The following is an 18,875-nucleotide window of genomic DNA, read 5'->3' as shown; positions in this document are numbered from 1 at the left end:
CTAAGATGGAGAGGTGTTGAGGGAAAATATACCCACAAATAATAATCAAGCATTTATGCAGCATTTAGTATTTCCACACCACCAACTAATAATCACTGTATCATTGCAATCCTCTTGGGTCAAAGCAAACGTGTGGGGTCAGTGAGTTGTCCAGACCCCATTTTATAGATGAGGAAATAGGTTGGGGAAATTAATCATCTTGTGGTTTAAGGAAGTCAGCAACATAGAAGGACATCATGGTCCTTATGTTGAATCTGGTCATCTAAACAGAGAGGCTCAGCCGAAACACAAGGCAGCAAAAGAATATGCATGTGTGTGCGCATGCAAGCATATATGAAACAAACTGCTTCTCACGATACAATCAAAACGATATCTATTTGGTATTTCCTAGACTAAAAATTCGCTGGGTCCCACATCATGGCCCATGACCATGTTTGGGTCAAACAAAAAGAAAGAACTGGCCTGGCCGGCTGTGGTGGCTCACGTCTGTAATCCTAGCACTTTGGGAGGCTGAGGCAGGTGGATTGCCTGAGCTCATGAGTTCAAGACCAGCCCGGGGAACACGGTGAAACCCCGTCTCTACTAAAAATACAAAAAATTAGCCGGGCGTGGCAGTGTGCACCTGTAATCCCAGCTACTCGGGAGGCTGAGGCAGGAGAATTGCTTGAACCTGGGAGACGGAGGTTGTAGTGAGCCGAGATTGCGCCATTGCACTCCAGCCTGGGTGACAGAGCGAGATTCCATTGAAAGGAAGGAAGGAAGGAAGGAAGGAAGGAAGGAAGGAAGGAAGGAAGGAAGGAAGGAAGGAGGGAGGGAGGGAAAGGAGAGAGAAAGAAAAAAAAGAAAGAACTGGCCAGGCGCGGTGGCTCACGCCTGTAATCCCAGCAGCACTTTGGGAGGCCAAGGTGGGCAGATCACTTGAGGTCAGGAGTTCAAGACTAGCTTGGCCAATACGGCAAAACCCTGTCTCTACTAAAAATACAAAAATTAGCCAGACGTTGTGGCAGGCGCCTGTATTCCCAGCCACTTGGGAGGCTGAGGCAGGAGAATCACTTGAACCTGAGAGGTGGAAGTTGCAGTGAGCCAAGATCCTGCCACTACACTCCAGCCTGGGTGACAGAGCAAGACTCTGTCTCAAAAAAAAAAAAAAAAAAAAATTCTAAGACTGGGAGATGGAGAAGGACATGGAAATTTGGAGGTTATAACTGATGCCCTTGGACAGAATCATAAAATGGGTTCATATGCTAGAATCAAATCTAGGCACTTAGATATTCTGTCATCTTTCACCTTCCTCCCCTCTTCTTCATCCACACTGAGAAAATGCCCTCAGTCACCTCTTCCAGCTTTTCAGGTCATCTTCAATGTACAGTGTAAATATTATCTCGTTATTCCTCTTTCAGTGTAACCCAGATATATTGGCTCTCAGAGACCAAGACATGCTATATTCCTGGAAACATAAAGAGAGATGATAGAATTAGAAGGGATGTTTGATGGTCTAAAATGGATCTTATATCCGACTTTCAAATATTCCCTGGCAGTGTCAGGACAGAAGGGAGACTAGCCTAGCAATTTAATATATTTACTGGGTAAATAGTAAGCACTTGCAGTCCCTGACTTAATCAGAATGAAGTTCATTACGATAAAGAGCTGTGCCCTTTGGTCCTGTTTGCATTAAGCAGGCTCTTAATTTCATTTAATTTCACTACATCTCTGAAGGAAATTATAGGCTATAAGGCTAGCCAAAGAGTCGGAGGGGAGGACAGATAGCAAGCATATCCACCAGAGGAGATAGAGGAAAGGAGGTAGTGGGCTAAGATTAGAGCATAGAGGACAGAGATTCCCCTTATCAACCCCAATCTATGAAACTAATTTTACTTTCTTGTTTTTAACTTGACGTTTGTATCAGTCTCTCTCTTTCTCTCTGGGTTTTAGAAACATGTTATCAGGTCATCTAAACCTTTTATGAAACATTTCAGACTTGTACGTGCATGAGCTGGTGAAGATTTATTATATTTGACACCATAACTACAGATTTTAAGGCATTCTTTTAAGCGCAACTTGACTGAAACCCCTGAGGCTAGATCGCTATCTTTTGCCAGATGTTAACTTGGTTTCACTGATGGAAACCCAGGGTAAGGTTAAAACTGTTTCTGGACACATTCGTACCTTGGAATGTTTAACTCCATCAGTATATTAGTATTAGATATCAAGAAACCTGGGCTCTTGATCTGTGTTCATCTCTGTCTTCAATTTCTTTCTGTTTCTATTGGAGAAATCAAATGGTCCCCCCGATTTGAATTAAAACAGGCGGAGAGGAAAGAATAAGATCCAATGAGCCCATAAATAGAAGTACCCACCCAGGTCCTTTGGGATTCTTTGGTATCTATTCAGGTTACAAGAAATCTGCCCATCTCTGGGTGGGAATACGGATAAATGATGTCATTCAACAGAATTAGGACCAGACGGGGAAATGTATCCAAATCCTGCAGGGGGTAGCACTGAATGCAGGCTTTAGATATGGAAAGGCCTCCGAGTGCTCTCAAGCATAAACAAGAGTAACCGTGAAGGCAACACAGTTTCTGGGATGTGACTGAGAGGGTAACGGCACTTCTGAGATGTGCTGGGGGGTGGGAGCAGGGGTTATAACACCAAATATTGGGTTGTGACAGACGCCGGGCATGAGGGCCATAATTCCCACAATGGACTAGAGCACAGTGGAACTATGTCATCTGCTGGGCTGTAATCGGTAGGAGCAAGCTGCACGTTCAGCACGTTTTCTCCTGGATCCCATCCTTGGCGACCGATCTAGACCTCAGCCTCCAGGATCTGTTAGAGAAATAAACAAGTGGGAGACAACAACCAAAACAGCAACACAGTCGAGCGGGCGCGGGAGACGAAGCTCCGCCTTTGGAAGCCTCGGGCCAATCAGAAGCCTGTTGCTGGGGCCCGGTGTTTGGCCGCCTGACGTTCCCATGGAGACGGAAGAACGTTACACACCAAACACTGGCGACGTTGACGTCTATGCATTATATCCATGGAGACGACAGAGTAAACGTCATCCCCCCACACTTCCCCGCCTCCCTTAGCGCCAGGGGCTGAGGGAGCGACGCAGGCGTCGCCGTCACGTGCTGGACGCCAGGAGCGAAGCCCGGTGGGCGGGGCCTGTTGCTATGACTGCAGCTGCGGCTGTTTGGAGCTGCAATTAGAAAGTGCTGAGGTGGCAGTGGAGCCAGAACCGATTCTGGAACAGCTTCTCCCGCCCCCGGGCCAGAGAGGGTTCCCCAGCCCCTGGAAAGCCAGGACACCCCCTAGGCTGTCCCAGCACGCCTCAGCCTCAGGTCCTGAGCCAACATCTCTCTGCGCTGCCTGTGAATCCAGACTGTGACTCCAGACTGAGGGCCAAACCGAGACCACTCCCTCCACCGTCAGTTGGCCATAATTGTCAGGGTGACCTCCCCGACCGACCGTCTCCACCGACCGTCTCCTCCAGACAGCAGCCCACAGAACAGCCACCGACCAAACTGCCTTGCCCATGAGACAGGAGCAAAACCAGCTTAGAAAACTTTCCCACTGTTGGAGTAAAACCCAGAATTCTCCCAGAAAGGAGAAGCATAAGGAACTTTGAATTTATCTTTTATACTTTAAAAGCAGCAGAACTTGAGACATTCATTCCTCGGAGCTTTGTTGAAGAATTGAGGAAGGGGTGCTTAATAATCCCATTCAAGAATAGTTCCTCTGGAAGGGAGAGAAAACTCAGAAATCCCTGAGTACTGTGATACTCCAAAATGGGAAGGCCTGGAAAAACCTAGGTCATTAAAAACTGAAGCTTAAATTTCTACATTGCTTAATTTTGTCTCAACTGCACAAGCCAACAGAGTGTGAGAAATCTCTCTGCGTGCCAGCCTCCCTTTTCGTCACACAACTCTGGAAACAGTTATAGGAAGATTGCAGCAACAAATTGTAAACAAAACCAGGTCAAGAAACAGAGGAGAGGGCCAGGCAGGGTGGCTCAGGCCTATAATCCCAGCACTTTGGGCAGCTGAGGCAGGTGGATCACCTGAAGTCAGGAGTTCAAGACCAGCCTGGGCAACATGGCGAAACCTCCTCTCTAATTAAAAAATAAAAAATAAAAATAAAAATTAGCCAGGCTTGGTGGCGGGCGCCTGTAATCCCAGCTACTCGGGAGGGTGAGGCAGGAGGATCGCTTGAAACCAGGAGGCGGAGGTTGCAGTGAGTCAAGATCGCGCCACTGCACACTCCAGCCTGGGCGACAGAGCGAGACTCTGTCTCAAAAAAAAAGAAGAAAGAAACAGGAGTGAAAAGTTGAGATGACCATGTGAAGCCAGCCAACCTGAACAAAATGTAACTTTTGAATGATAAGGCACAGCTGAGCGGCCCAGACTTTGAATTTTCTCCAAATATCATGATCTTCCATCCTGGCTGAATTTAAATGGTGTCTTTTGTATTTGGGGGAAAGCAGAGGGGATATTATTTGCTGGAATTAAAAGCAAGCCATTTGGGTGAGCACATAGTCTGTTGCAGATGGTGGAGGCATAAAGAGGGATTTCATGTAAATGAATGGCATTCGGAGTTGGCCTGGGCTTTCTGCATTCCTCCACCAACACATATCCAATCCCATTGTCTATCTCTGAGAAATCAGCACCTCAGGGTCCCTTCCCTGTTACTCCATAGTAGCCCTCCCTGGGCCCCCATTCAGATATTTTGCCACCTGTCCACAGAGCATATCCGTTGCCTTTCAACATTCCCTTGCTCCATCCTCTGACCTACCTATTACTCACTTCCCCGACATCCTTCCCTAAACACTTCTTGACTCCCTTCCCACTCAATTGCCACTCCCCAGGATTTTACCCAGTTGATCATTGCTCCCCAAACCCTTGCCCCATCCACTCATCCCCACCATAAAGTTTTTCATGTCTGGTCCTTACTTAATAGAAGACAGTAGCTTATTGGAACTTCTGTCCAGTTCCAAGCAGAGGAAGAAGGGCACAGTGAGTGGAACAAAGCCATGATCAGCCCTTCAGGAAAAAAAAACCCTGGCCGGGCACAGTGGCTCACGCCTGTAATCCCATCACTTTGGGAGGCAGGCGAATCACTTGAAGCCAGGAGTTCGAGACCAGCCTGGCCAACATGGTGAAACCCTGTCTCCTAAAAATACAAAAGTTAGCCAGGTGTGGTAGTGCAGGCCTGTAGTCCCAGCTACTCAGGAGGCTGAGGCAGGAGAATTGCTTGAGCCTGGAAGGCAGAGATTGCAGTGAGCCAAGATCCCACCACTGCCCTCCAGGCTGGGCGACAGACTCTGACTCAAAAAAAGAAAAAAAAAAAAGGAGAAAAGAAAAAAGAAAAAAATATTGGCCGGGCGCAGTGGCTTACGCCTGTAATCCCAACACTTTGCGAGGCTGAGGCGGGTGGATCACCTAAGGTCAGGAGTTCGAGACCAGCCTGGCCAACATAGTGAAAACCCGTCTCTACTAAAAATACAAAAAATTTAGCCGGGCGTGGTGGCGCACACCTGTAATCCCAGCTACTTAAGAGGCTGAGGTAGGAGAATCACTTGAACCTGGGAGGCCGAGGTTGCAGTGAGCCGAGATTGCGCCACTGTACTCCATCCTGGGCAACAAAGTGAGACTCAGTCTCAAAAATAAATAAATAAATAAAAATAAAAACAAAAACCCAGATAGTAGTTGAGATTCATGCTATATATCCAACCATAATGCAGATTCTGCTTATTACAGGATTATGGGCAAGGTAGCAATTTACTAATTCTGGTATTTTCAGGGAAGAAATGACAATTTCTACTTTTTTCTGTCAACGAATGGTTAAGCTAGACTTCTCTTTTCTAAACTCCACCTAGAGCATAAAAGCAGCTGGAAAAGAGAGAAACTTCAAATTCAGGTTAATGAGAAAGCCTGATTTATGGGTAGATTAGATTGAATCAGTTTTTGACATGGAAATGAAGTGGTTTGTGTTTTGTTTCAGATGGGAAAGCACTGATGCAATTTACCTCTAGGCACAGAAATAACCCATTTTAGGCCTGGCATGGTAGCTCTTGCCTGTAATCCCAGTACTTTGGGAGGCTAAGGCAGGCGGATCACCTGAGGTCAGGAGTTCGAGACCAGCCTGACCAACATGGTGAAACCCCGTCTCTACTAAAAATACAAAATTAGCCAAGCATGGTGGCGCATGCCTGTAATCCCAGCTACTAGGGAGGCTGAGGCAGGAGAATCACTTGAACCCGGGAGGCAGAGGTTGCGGTGAGCCAAGATCATGCCGTTGCACTCCAGCCTGGGCAACAAGAGCGAAACTGTCTCAAAAATAAAAAATAAAAATAACCCATCTTGTCATCTAGAAAAGAAGTGGAACAGCAGTCCTTCTTATCTCCCTACTTGAAACGCAGAGTTAAGTTCGAATAAGATGGTCGTATTTACTTTGCCATTCTCTCTCTTGAGGTCTCTCTTTCAGTCCTTCAGGCTAATCAAGGACCCAGCAAGCCACTGACACAGTGTATGAGAAGGAGAAAATAAAGGCAAGATTTATCTAATACTTTTGATATGCTAGGACTATGTAGAGTACTTGAGAGTACTCTATGTGTTATCTCGTTTTATCCTGTTAATATCCATGAGAACTAGGTCTTCATGTGCCCACTTTTACAACGGAAGAAACTGAGATTCAAGTAGTTAAGTAAGTACAGAGCCAGGACATCTCCAATGATGCCATGGAATGCATGGAAAACCTCCACTTGGATCATTCCACGAGCTTTCTTTTCCATAGGGAGACTCTAGCCCCCTTTTCCAAACTTTTTTCTTTTTCTTTTTTTTTTTAAAGAAGGGAAGATTGTGAGATCTGCTAGAGCTTCATGAAAAGGTGCTGACACCACAAAGAACACAAATTCATCCCTGCCTTCTGGGACTAGCCTATATTTCCTCATTGGCTCAAGATCCAAGGAGGCAAAGAGAGACATGCCCCAGAGCACACGCAGCAGAAAGGTTTGGGTGGTTCGGGGAGACTCTGACCTGCCCCAGGCTAGGGAGGGCACTACCTGAGTTCAACAGCTCCCTGGACAGCTCCACACAGATTTATCTGCAGCTGTCACTTACAACCAGCTCCTCCTTCCTCTTCTCCCTCCTCCCCAATGCCTGACCCTGCAGGGAAGCACGTCCAGCACGAATTCTTTCAAACCTCAGCTACCTTTAGGATTTTTATGTGTCTGAAGAGTTCCCTTCTTGACAAGCAGCATTAGTCAAGTCCAGTAGGTGGGAAGGGCATTTCCCGGTGATCCTGGGCTTGGAGGAAGGGGAGACCCTTCTCCCTCCCGGCTTTGGCAAGCAACCATAGAGAGGTCCATGTGGGTGGCAATGAATACAGACAAGCCAGAGGGGTTCTTGCTGGACAGGAATGCCCACGGGCCACACCTTCCTCAGCCCTCAGAGCACTTCATCATGTCTGGACCCGTGAATGGGGTGGCAGTGCCAGGGAGTGGGTTCTCCCAGTGTCTGGCTCCAACAGCTGGTTTACTGTGATGATTCTATTTGTGTTCCCTGTGTTCTGTTTGGCTTGGCAGCAGGGAAGGAAGAGGGCAACAGGTTCACTCCAGTTTGTACTGGGTTGTTCCTGCAGCCACACCCGGGCATTAAAGCAGGCGGCTTGCACCCTGGATGCCTTTACCTGGGGGCCCTTGGTGTGCAAAAGCAAAGCGTGGGAAGTATTTCCTTTTCATGGGCCAGCCAGGTGTGGCTGGCATTTCACCTATTCCTGTATTACTAACGTCATCCAGATTCAGGTCAAAGGGCAGGTTTCCTAGACTCCCATCACGCTGAGATCCGGGATCAGGGGATGGTTGATCAAGTCCATTTGGGCTGGATTACCTGAGTTCCTACTACTCATGGACACTTAACTCCTGCTTCTAAAACAAAATCTGTCCAGGCACAGTGGCTCATACCTATAATTCTAGCACTTTGGGAGGCTGAGGCAGGCGGACCACTTGAGCCAAGGAGGCCTAGACTGCAGTGAGTTATGATCATGCTACTACACTCCAGACTGGGAGACAGAGCAATACCTTGTTTGTTAAAAAAAAGAAAAGAAAAGAAAAGAAAATTCTGGACCAAGCGCAGTAGCTCATGCCTGTAATCCCAGCACTTTGGGAGGCCAAGGCGGGCGGATCACCAGAGGTCAGGAGTTTGAAAACAGCCTGACCAACATGGAGAAACCCCATCTCTACTAAAAACACAAAATTAGCTGGGTGTGGTGGCACATGCCTATAATCCCAGCTACTCGGGAGGCTGAAGCAGGAGAATCACTTGAACCAGGGAGTCGAAGGTTGCGGTGAGCCAAGATCACGCCATTGCACTCCAGCCTGGGCAACAAGAGCGAAACTCTGTCTCAAAAAAAAAAAAAAAAAAAAAATTCTGAGGTCAGGCAACTGTGCTGTACCTTGAAGGACTGGTGTCCCCAAAATTGAAATATGGTCTCTCCTAAAGCATACAAATTAGGGGTTCTTTTTATACAAGGTGGTAGCTTTCAAGGAAAACAGACTTCAAGGTCAAATAGACTTAGTCTAGAACTCTGGATTTGCCCCCTTACTTAGATGAGCCTCCATCCAGAACTAAAATCTCTAGCATGTGAAAAATAACAGCAAATATTTATGCTACTACATGCCAGGCACTGTTCTAAGCATTTTTGTAAAAACTCATTTAAGCCTCAAAACAACATAAAGAGGTGAGTAGGTGAGTAGATTATTGTCATCCCCTCTTACAGATGAGAAATGGAGGCAGAGAGGTTAAGGAGATTTTCAAAGGTCACACAGTTGATAAATGACAGTGCTAGGATTCAACGGAAGGAAGTCTGGAACCCATACGGAAGCGGAACCAGAACCTCTGGAACACATCTCAGAACCAGAATGGTAGCGATGTTCCTGGAGAGCCCTGCTGTGCCGGTGGCTAGATGCCTTAGACAGCAGACACAGACACAGCACCCCAGACCCGCCCTGTCATCTCTATGCTTCCCTTCTGAGGCTCCCAAGTCAACTTTGGAAAGGGCCTTTCTTTTTTCTGAGACAGGGTCTCGCTGTCTTTCCCAGGCTGAAAATCACTGAAATGCAGTCACTGAAATGCAGTGACTTTATCCTAGCTCACAGCAGCCTTGACCTCCCAGGCTCAAGTGATCCTCCCTCCTCATCCTCCTGAATAGCTGGGACTACAAGCCCCCACCACCACACCAGGCCAATTTTTGTATTTTTTGTAGAGATGGGGTTTCACCATGTTGCCCAGGCTGGTCTCAAACTCTTGGGCTCAAGCGATGGCCCGCCTTAGCCTCCCAAAATGTTGGGATTACAGGTGTGAGCCACCGCACCCAGCCAGAAAGGGCCTTTCTACTAGCCTAAACATTGCCCTTGCCCTGGACCCTGGGGCAGCCTTCCCTTGAATGCAGGGATTTCCTGGCTGAAGGTCACAGTCATGGTCATCCAGCCAGATCAACGAAAGGATCTTCAGAAGTGCACTAGCTTCCATGGGCTCCTCACCTGCTCCAGGGGCAAGAACAAGGCCTAGCATTATGACGCTATGGACCTGTCATGAATGAGCATTCTTCCCGGCAGGCAGGCTTATGCCTCTCTGTGCTCCTTCACACGCTGGGGGCCGGCAGAGCCAGGCTGGCATGCTGGGCATAACCAAGCATGTCGAGCAGGCAAGGCCACAGACAGCCCTGCCCTGAAGAAAGTGGCCATGACCTAGACAGCTGAATAATGAAACCATTTCCTCTCCAGGAGAGACCTGAGCACATGGCTGCAGGGCCTGGCAAAGCCATAGGCTTTGTTCCTGGGGCCGCTCCCTACCCGGATGAGATAATGTGCATTGTGGGGCTTGAGACAGTTAGAATGACTTCTTAAACGGAAGCAAGGTGTAGTTCATTACCATCACCCACGTTTACTGAGTGCCAAGTGTGCTTTATGTGACTGATAGGAATTCGTTTACTTTGTCCTTAAAACAACCCTGTGAGGTAGGTTCTTATACTATCCCCTTTGACAGATGAAGATATGGAAGCACAGAGATTGCTCGAGGCCAGGGGTTCAAGAGCAGCCTGGGCAACATGGCAAGACCCAGTATATATATATATATATATGTGTGTGTGTGTGTGTGTGTGTATTTTTTTTTTTTTTTTTTTGAGACTGAGTCTCGCTCTGTCACCAGGCTGGAGTGCAGTGGCGCAACCTCAGCTCACTGCAACCCCCACCTCCCACTTCAAGCAATTCTCCTGCTTCAGCCTCCCAAGTAGCTGGGACTACAGGTGCCTGCCACCACATCCAGCTAATTTTTTTGTATTTTTAGTAGGGACGGGGTTTCACCGTGTTGGCCAGCATGGTCTCAATCTCTTGACCTCATGATCCACCCACCTTGGCCTCCCGAAGTGCTGGGATTACAGGTGTGAGCCCCTGCGTCCAGCCTTCTATATTTTTAGTTTTTTAAAAAAGCAGTAGAGGCATAGAGAAGTTAACTTTCCCAACTCAGCACAGGCAATAAATGAGATTCAAACTCAGAAATGGCTGACTTCCCAGACTGTGCTAAACTATCTAAAGCAAAATGGAGGCCCTTTCCTCAGGGTCAGTGAAGACACAAGACCAGAGAAGGGTCTTGAGACGCTTCCATATTAGGCTGGGGATCCAAGGCCCTTGTCCAGTTACTGGGGACCCTTGGGACCATAGCCCATGCCTCCAGAAGTGTCATCTGATCCAACTTCCAGGCTCTCACTGGCCACTCTGGAGCTCAATGAGCCAGAGATGGCTCCACTAATCCCTTAGGCTAGCTAGAGCCATACTACAAGTTTACAACTCAGCTGGAACCTGGCTGGCCCCACAAGAACAGCAAAGGATGGGGACAGAGAGTGGGTACAAAACTGTGACTGTCTTACTTCTGGGTATTTGTCAGGATGTGGCCTTGTCCATCTGGGCTGGGGCTCTGTTTGTGACTGGGACAGCATCGTGCTATAGGCCAAAGCTTAAGCTCCCAAGACACCCTTCTATTTCTTTACAGTGCCTCTTCTCCCTCTGCTTCCTCCTGATAAAATACACATATCTTAGTAGCATTTGACAACACCAGCCCTGGAGCTCGACTCCCTGGGTTCAAATCCCTGCTCTGCTACTCATTGCAAACTATTTATCTTACGAGTTAATCTTTCTGTGCCTCAGTTTCCTTCTCTGCAAAATGGGCACACCAATACTACCTTCCTTATACTGTTGTTGGAGGACAACAAGATAAGGTGTGTGGATGGCAAATGCTTGACAAACAGTAGGCATTAACGTGGTGGTGGTTTATTATATATTTGCTTCCTTCCTTCTCAGTATACTGAGATAAGTTTATTGAACGCTGGCTATAAGCTACAACCTACTGGGCTATTGTTTGTACTCCTCCTTCCATGCCCTCCTACCATCAATTCTTAGGTTAGTCCTTTTTTTTTTCTTTTGAGATGGAGTCTTGCTCTGTCATCCAGGCTGGAGTACAGTGGCATGATCTCGGCTCACTGCAACCTCCACCTCCTGGGTTCAACCATTCTCCTGTCTAAGCCTTCCAAGTAGCTGGGATTACAGGTGTGCACCACCATGCCTGGCTAATTTTTGTATTTTTAGTAGAGATGGGGTTTCGCCATGTTGGCCAGGCTGGCCTCGAGCTCCTGGCCTCAGGTGATTTGCCTGCCTCGGCCTCCCAAAGTGCTAGGATTACAGGTGTGAGCCACCGTGTCGGCCCGTAGGTTAGTCCTATATGGGGAGATTTGGGCTTAAAAGGAAAAACCAAAAAATAAATAAAATAAATAAAAAAGAAATCTAGGAATAGGCACTCCTGGAACGGGACAGAGGTCCCATTAGACTGGGTGAGGGGTCTTTGAGAAATACCTTAATGCCAATTGTCTTCACAATTTTAATGGTTCAACATGCGAAGGGAGCCAAGGCTATTAATTTGTAACAGCTGCAAAGAAATCATGTCAACACCTCAGTATAGATTCTCTCTGTGGGCACAGAGGTTAGGTTGAAAGTCATGAGACCTAAAATAATTATTGAGCAACAGCATTGTAGGGGATTACTGATGGCAAAATAAACAACCTTCAACAGAATCCACCCCACTTGGTTGTATCCTCCGGGAGACTCTCACCTCCTTTTTTTAGATTGTCATCTCAGTCTGACTACAAACCATGTCTTAATAGATAAAGCTTTGATTCCACCTCTAACATAAGAGCAATACAAACCCACATGCCTACTAAATATAAGTGGCTGATGATATGGGCCTAGGATAGAAAGTGAGCAACTTAATGGGTGAGTTCATGCCGCAAAGGAGAGTCAAGGTGAAGGGGTACCTTATCTCAAATCTGAACAAAGACGTATATTTCCTGTGAAGTCTGATGAGAAAAAGAAGAAAAAAAATGTGGTTTGACTCCATCACACAAAGTAAGTCACAGTGGGTCCTGCTCTGCTGTAGAACTTTAAAGCCTGAGCGGCAGGCACATTTGTGGTTTGGTTGTGTTATCCGATTCTGCGGCTGACACACGCTGCTTTTAGTTCATGGCTGTAGAGTTTCCAGTCTCCCTTGGGCTCTTACGTTATGGTTTCAGGTTTCAGCGTGGCCACACACCTCTCTCCACTATTCAGGTGGAACAGCTGCAAGGGTTCCCCCTGCAAAGAGATCATAATAATAGCAGTAGCTGCCACTGAGGCCTGGCCCTGTGCCAGATGCTGCTTTGTTTTGCATGGTTTCATTCTTTATGCCCACTTTGCAGATCAGGAAACTGAGGCTTAATACAAGTAAAATAATTGATGTAGGGCCACTCAGGTAGAAAGGTGCTGAGGCTGGATTCACACCCAGGACCATGTAACTGCTGAAACTGAGAGTTTATGCACCAGATCATACTGCATCAGCATATTCCTCCTCTTTCTACACTTTCGTTTATGCCGTGCTTTGTCCCTTTTCTCCTGCATACCAGCTGAGCATGTCCTCTTTACTCTGCCTGTCCCTCAAAGACCTGCCTCCTCTGTTCCAGTGCCCCACCCGTGTCAGCCTAAAGTAGCCTCTCATCCCTCTGAACTTTTTCACCTGGACCATTTACTTTGGCACTTAATTATGCATTATTTTGTGTTATTATTTAAATGTTTTATTGCATAGGCTTTGTCTCCCAAACTGAATTACAAGCTCCCAGAAGTCAGGATCAGCTTTTCATGCGGCTTTTTGTTTTTTGTTTTTTGTTTTTTTTTTTGAGACGGAGTCTCACTCTTGTCGCCCAGGCTGGAGTGAGTGGTACAATCTCAGCTTACTGCAACCTCCACCTCCTGGGTCCAAGCGATTCTCCTGCCTCAACCTCCCAAGTAGCTGGGATTACAGGCACCCACCACCACGTCCAGCTAATTTTTGTTTGTTTGTTTTTTTTGTATTTTTAGTAGAGACATGGTTTCACCATGTTGGCCAGGCTGGTCTCGAACTCCTGACCTCAGGTGATCCGCCTGCCTCGGCCTCCCAAAGGGCTGGATTACAGGTGTGAGCCACCGTGCCCGGCCTTCATACAGCTTTGTATTCCTTCCAGCACTCAGCATAGAACTGTGCTCAGTAAGAGTCTAGATCCTGCTGAGGAGCACCAGGGGAAAAGATAAAATGCAATAAAAATGTTAAAGTCTGAAGAAATAAAAGAAAACCGAATGCCGTGGCTCATGCCTGTAATCCCAGCACTTCGGGAGGCGGAGGCACAGGCAGGAGGATCACTTGAGGCCAGGAGTTTGGGGCTGCAGTGAGCTATGATTTTATCACTGCTATGCAACAGAGCAAGACCCTGTCTCTAAAAAGAAAGGAAGAAAACTCAAAATAAATATTCCAAATGTGGCTTCTCCACAGAGGTTATTTTCAGCAAGTGGGATTCATTCTGAGCTCAGCTGCCTTCAACCCTCAATCTTTCTGTAGTGTCTAGCCTAATAAATAGGCGACCTATAAATATTTAATGAATGAAAGAAAGAATGAAACCCCATCTCCGTCAGTTAAAGTAACTTGGACAAATTATCTTAACTCCTCCAAACCTCAGTTTCCTCATCTGTAAAATGGGAATCATTCTTGGAGCGTTTACCCCAGAATTAGAGGCATGTGAGGCACCTCTCACTGTCCCTGGCACATGAGAACTACCATAGTTATTATCACCGTTATTATATTCTAAATCTTTCGTGGGAAATGGTTCCAGCAACTCGAAAATAAAGGACATAGCCACTAGTCTGATGACTTTAAGGTGGAAAATTGCTGCACAAGATGATCAAAACACCCCTAAGCAACCACATGGCCCACAGTTTTCTGCATATTGCTATTTACCAGGTTTCAGGGTTACGTTTTGTTTTTGCTTGTGGCCAAGTTGGAACCCCCGTGGTGTCTTCCTATGGAACTCAGCTTACCGTTGCTGCGGGGGCCCACTTTTCCTTTCTTTATTAAGAAAAGGAAACAGGAAATCGAATGTAAAACCCTCCGACGGTTAGTATCACACCAAAGTTGTGAATTTAACCACACCCCCGCCAGGAAATGGAAGTACAGTTCTCACAGTGATGTTCCCTCACCTTTCATGGCCCACGTGGTATTTTTCAGCTTTTAGTTAGATAAGGTAGATGAAAGGGCTGAACTTTGGGCAGTGGGCTGTCATTGGGTAATTGTTGATTTGGGCATAGATTAGCACACAGATTTAATATTGTACTAATCGAGAAGGGTCTTCCATTTGCTCTGTGGCTATATGGCTCTATCAGATGTCACAAACTTGGGGGTTGGGGAGGTCCGTGCAGTGGTGGGACCGTGGCTCACTGCAGCCTCGAGCTCCCAGACTCAAGTGATCCTCCCACCTCAGCTTCCTGAGTTGCTGGGACTACAGGCACGAGCCACCGAGCCTGACAACATAGTGTATTTTAACATTTGCTTCAGTTGTCAACATTTAAAAACAGAGAAGCCAGGCATGTTAAGTCACACCGATAATGTCAACACTTTGGGAGGCTGAGGCAGGAGGATCAAGACCAGCCCAGGAGTTCGAGACCAGCCTGGGCAACATAGGGAGAACCCCGTCTCTACAAAAATAAAAACGAAAAAATTAGCCAGATGTGGTGGCACATGCCTGTGGTCCCAGCTGCTTGAGAGGCTGAAGTGGGAGGCTTGCTTGAGCCCAGGGGGTCGAGGCTGCAGTGAGCTGTGATTGCACTATTGCACTCCAGCCTGGGCAACAGAGCAAGACCCTGTCCCCCCAAAATAAAATAAGAATAAAAACAGGGAGATTGCACACATGTGCACATGCACATACATCCATTCTGGATTTACAGACTCTCCTGGGGAAAAATAGTGATAGTGGGTTATAGACGCCACTGTTAGGTGGGCACGTGTCTTGGGTTTGGTGCAGCAGCCCTCTGCACTCATTTGCTTCACCTGCCTGCCCCCAGGGCATTGAGATTCCAGGCTTAAGTCTTGTGTATCTGAGAGGCATTCACAAATCTGCCACTCCCAGGAGACAGGTATAGTTTCCTGACACCTTAAGCCTGGCCTTCTGTATATTCAATCTTTTGCTTTCACCTTCTCTTCCCTGCCTGAGTCTCCTGATTCCAAGTCACTAGTCCTGATGACCCCAGAGATGGACAGATGCCTAGCCTAGGCATAAGGAAAGTTTGCCATTTCTTTGCTCCACCCCAGGTTAGGTCTGTATGTGAGACGTATCTACAAGGAAGCTTTGGAAAAGCAAATCAATTGAGGAGATAATAGCACCATCAGGTCACCCCCGAAACTGCACATTTTCCTTCGTTGATGTGTTTGGAACTCTTGCTTTGCCACCCAGCACTCATTCAGGCTTCTTCTGGCAACTGGATTCCCATTTTCCTCTAGGAAATTACCCTTCCCCAATCCTAATCTCTGTGCATTAAGCGCAGTTGACTCTACCTCTCCCTCCATAGATGGCCTGGCCAATCAGAGCACTGCTCAATTCCTCTGCTGTAGTGATTGGTTCAGAGGTGGGCACATTACCCCCGTGAAACACAATGAGACCTTTGCCGGGATTGCCCAGAGACAAGCATGTGCTGTTTTCCACTAGACTTGAACCTGAGCACATACAGACCTAGAGTTGCTGTCCGCCACCTTGCATGAAGAGCCTGAGAATTGCACTGGCAGTGAAGGATAGCCCTACTTAAAGATAAACAGAGATGGGGTCCTGGAGCCCTAGATGAAGCCTTGCCTGATGCAGCCTACCTTGTACTTTTTAATTCTACAAGCAGCTCCCTAGAGAAACTAGACCAGAATGTTTTTAGGTTTCCTACCTGAAGTCAATTTTCCCTAAAAAACAGGCACCAGGTGAGAGAGGGTGAAAAGGGGTACACTTTTTTTTTTTTGAGATGGAGTCTTGCTATGTCGCCCAGGCTGGAGTGCAGTGGTGCAATCTCGGCTCACTGCAACCTCCACCTCCCGAGTTCAAGCGATTCTCCTGCCTTAGCCTCCCGAGTAGCTGGGATTACAGGCGCCTGCCATCATGCCCAGCTAATTTGTTGTATTTTTAGTAAAGATGGTGTTTCACCGTGTTGGCCAGGCTGGTCTCAAACTCCTGAACTCAAGTGATCCGCTGCCTCGGCCTCCCAAAGTGCTGGGATTACAGGCGTGAGCCACTGCATCTGGCCGAGGGGTACTCTTTTTATGTACCTTTCAGGTGATTCATTATGTTTCAATAGGAGCCTCCAGATAGCCAAAATAAAGGGTTAGTTTAGTTTTTGTTTTTTTGAGACGGAGTCTCACTCTTGTTGCCCAGACTGGAGTGCAATGGCACGATCTCGGCTCACTGCAACCCCTGCCTCCCAGGTTCAAGTGATTCTCCTGCCTCAGCCTCCCGAGTAGCTGGGATTACAAACTCATGCTACCATGCCCGGCCAGTTTAGTTTGTTTTTATTTTTCTGCACTGGATACTCCTACTCAAGGTTTGTTGTTTTTTAATTATAAAAGTAATACATGTTTTTAAAATTCCAATAATCAAGAAGTAAGTAACACTAATAAAAAGGTAAAGTCTTCTCCACCTTCATCCCTGGAGCCACTTTTTAGAGGTAGCTTTGGGGAGTAATAATATTGATGAGAATAATCACTAATGTTTATAAAGGGCTTACTGTGTTCCAGGCATCACTGTAAGTACTTTACATGTGTTTTCACACTGAATGTGTGGGATAGAAATGTTAAAGTTGCAAAGCTAATAAAATCCAAATAATCTGACTCTAGAACCACTACACTGCCTACAATTAGATGTTTAGTCATAAATATACACATACACATATTTAAACCACAGTGAGTTCATGTTACACATTCTGTTCATAATCATCTATTTTAACTGACTATCATCTTTGACACCACTCAATGTCACTTTCCCGTTAAGAACGTGGAGCTCTTGGCTAGGAAAACTTTCCTGGATACAGATGACTTTCAGGATGGCAGCCCATTCATTTCGGAGTTGAGCTTCCCTAGGCCTCCAGCAAATAGTAATAACCCTCATGTCTGAAGCAGGTGACAAATGGAAAAGAGGTGGGCATCAGCCTTAGGATATTGAGCTTTTAACCTATTGGTCATTGGTTGAGAGATGTCCATGTGTTACATGCCCTTTGAGGGCAGAGACTATGCCTTAGACCCAAGTATATTTCCAGAGCCTAGTACAGTGTGTTTGGCATGGTTGGCACAGAGAGAGTGCTCAAGAAACATTTATTGAGTGAATAGATAAAGAGACTACTTGTTGAAAATCACTTTGGTGCAGGGCATCAAGAAATGAGACTCATGCTGGGTCCTCTGTGGAGAGGTTCCTAAGCCCTAAAGGTGAACACAACTGACCTGGATTCATGAGCATTTATTATTAATGACGTCATGCTGATGTTCAAACAGGATTTCCACAGTTTCTCATTCTTACGCATTGAAGTAAAACAAATATCTTGCATACCATCAGTAGACAGTTTTAAAAGGGCATCTGGGCCAAGCATGGTGGCTCACGCTTATAATCCTAGCACTTTGGGAGGCCGAGGTGGGTGGATCGCTTGAGGCCAGGAGTTTGAGACCAGCCTGGCCAACATGGTAAAACCCCATCTCTACTAAAAATACAAAAATTAGCCAGGCATGGTGGCACGTGCCTGTGGTCCCAGCTACTCGGGAGGCTGAGGAGGGAGAATTACTTGAACTCAGGAGGCGGAGGTTGCAGTGAGCAGAGATCACGCCACTGCACTCCAGCCTGGGCAACAGAGCAAGACTCTGTCTTAAAAAAAAAAAAAAGGCATCTGGTCCATCATAAAGGTGGTATAGAATGGTGGTTATAAGTTTGGGATCTAGGTAATCCCAGCACTTTGGGAGGCCGAGGTGGGTGGATCACAAGGTCATGAGTTCAAGACCAGCCTGGCCAAGATGGTGAAGCCCCGTCTCTACTAAAAATACAAAAATTAGCTGGGTGTGATGGCGGGTGCCTGTAATCCCAGCTACTCGGGAGGCTGAGGAAGGAGAATCGCTTGAACCCGGGAGGCAGAGGTTGTGGTGAGCTGAGATCGCACCATTGCACTCCAGCTTGGGCAACGAGTGAAATTCTGTCTCAATAAATAAATAAATAATAAGTTTGGGATCTAGAGTCAGCCAACCTAGGTTCAAATCATCCTAGCTGTGACATGTACTAGCTGTGTGGTCTTGGCATGTTACTTAATCTCTCTGTGGCTTTATTTTCCCATCTGTGAAATGGGGCTAGTAAGAGTACCTACCTCATAAAGTTGTGGGGGTTATCTGAGTTGATGGATATAGAACGTTTTTTTTTTTTTTTGAGACCGAGTCTCGCCCTGTTGCCCAGGCTGGAGTGCAGTGGTGTGATCTCAGCTTACTGCAACC

General features: G+C 46.8%; 9 annotated features.

Annotated features, from left to right (window-relative positions):
• Positions 1,909–4,483: an enhancer, noted in NCBI's record as "VISTA enhancer hs1481". NCBI's record gives its function as "enhancer in: heart[3/5]" and the evidence as "EXISTENCE:transgenic organism evidence [ECO:0001131][PMID:17130149]".
• Positions 2,643–2,902: an enhancer, noted in NCBI's record as "active region_8741". NCBI's record gives its function as "activates an Ori minimal core promoter by ATAC-STARR-seq in GM12878 lymphoblastoid cells {active_cell/tissue: GM12878}" and the evidence as "EXISTENCE:reporter gene assay evidence [ECO:0000049][PMID:35858748]".
• Positions 3,083–4,061: an enhancer, noted in NCBI's record as "H3K27ac hESC enhancer chr14:75724846-75725824 (GRCh37/hg19 assembly coordinates)". NCBI's record gives its function as "activates a minimal SCP1, AML or CMV promoter by ChIP-STARR-seq in naive H9 embryonic stem cells {active_cell/tissue: H9 hESC(naive)}" and the evidence as "EXISTENCE:reporter gene assay evidence [ECO:0000049][PMID:30033119]".
• Positions 4,761–5,260: an enhancer, noted in NCBI's record as "H3K27ac hESC enhancer chr14:75723647-75724146 (GRCh37/hg19 assembly coordinates)". NCBI's record gives its function as "activates a minimal SCP1, AML or CMV promoter by ChIP-STARR-seq in primed H9 embryonic stem cells {active_cell/tissue: H9 hESC(primed)}" and the evidence as "EXISTENCE:reporter gene assay evidence [ECO:0000049][PMID:30033119]".
• Positions 4,761–5,324: a biological region, named in NCBI's record as "H3K27ac hESC enhancer GRCh37_chr14:75723647-75724146".
• Positions 5,155–5,324: an enhancer, noted in NCBI's record as "experimental_36704 CRE fragment used in MPRA reporter constructs". NCBI's record gives its function as "activates a minimal promoter by MPRAs in K562 erythroleukemia cells, with activity observed for the non-introgressed 14:75723668 variant allele {active_cell/tissue: K562}" and the evidence as "EXISTENCE:reporter gene assay evidence [ECO:0000049][PMID:34662402]".
• Positions 7,059–8,258: an enhancer, noted in NCBI's record as "BRD4-independent group 4 enhancer chr14:75720649-75721848 (GRCh37/hg19 assembly coordinates)". NCBI's record gives its function as "activates an origin of replication core promoter dependent on BRD2, P300/CBP, MED14 and CDK7 cofactors, and independent of BRD4, by STARR-seq in HCT116 cells {active_cell/tissue: HCT116}" and the evidence as "EXISTENCE:reporter gene assay evidence [ECO:0000049][PMID:35650434]".
• Positions 11,957–12,076: an enhancer, noted in NCBI's record as "active region_8740". NCBI's record gives its function as "activates an Ori minimal core promoter by ATAC-STARR-seq in GM12878 lymphoblastoid cells {active_cell/tissue: GM12878}" and the evidence as "EXISTENCE:reporter gene assay evidence [ECO:0000049][PMID:35858748]".
• Positions 12,277–12,446: an enhancer, noted in NCBI's record as "active region_8739". NCBI's record gives its function as "activates an Ori minimal core promoter by ATAC-STARR-seq in GM12878 lymphoblastoid cells {active_cell/tissue: GM12878}" and the evidence as "EXISTENCE:reporter gene assay evidence [ECO:0000049][PMID:35858748]".

This window comes from Homo sapiens, chromosome 14, assembly GCF_000001405.40.
Source record: "Homo sapiens chromosome 14, GRCh38.p14 Primary Assembly".
NCBI lineage: Eukaryota > Metazoa > Chordata > Mammalia > Primates > Hominidae > Homo > Homo sapiens.
The sequence above is the reverse complement of the archived record's forward strand: the minus strand, read 5'-3'. Positions and strand labels throughout refer to the sequence as shown.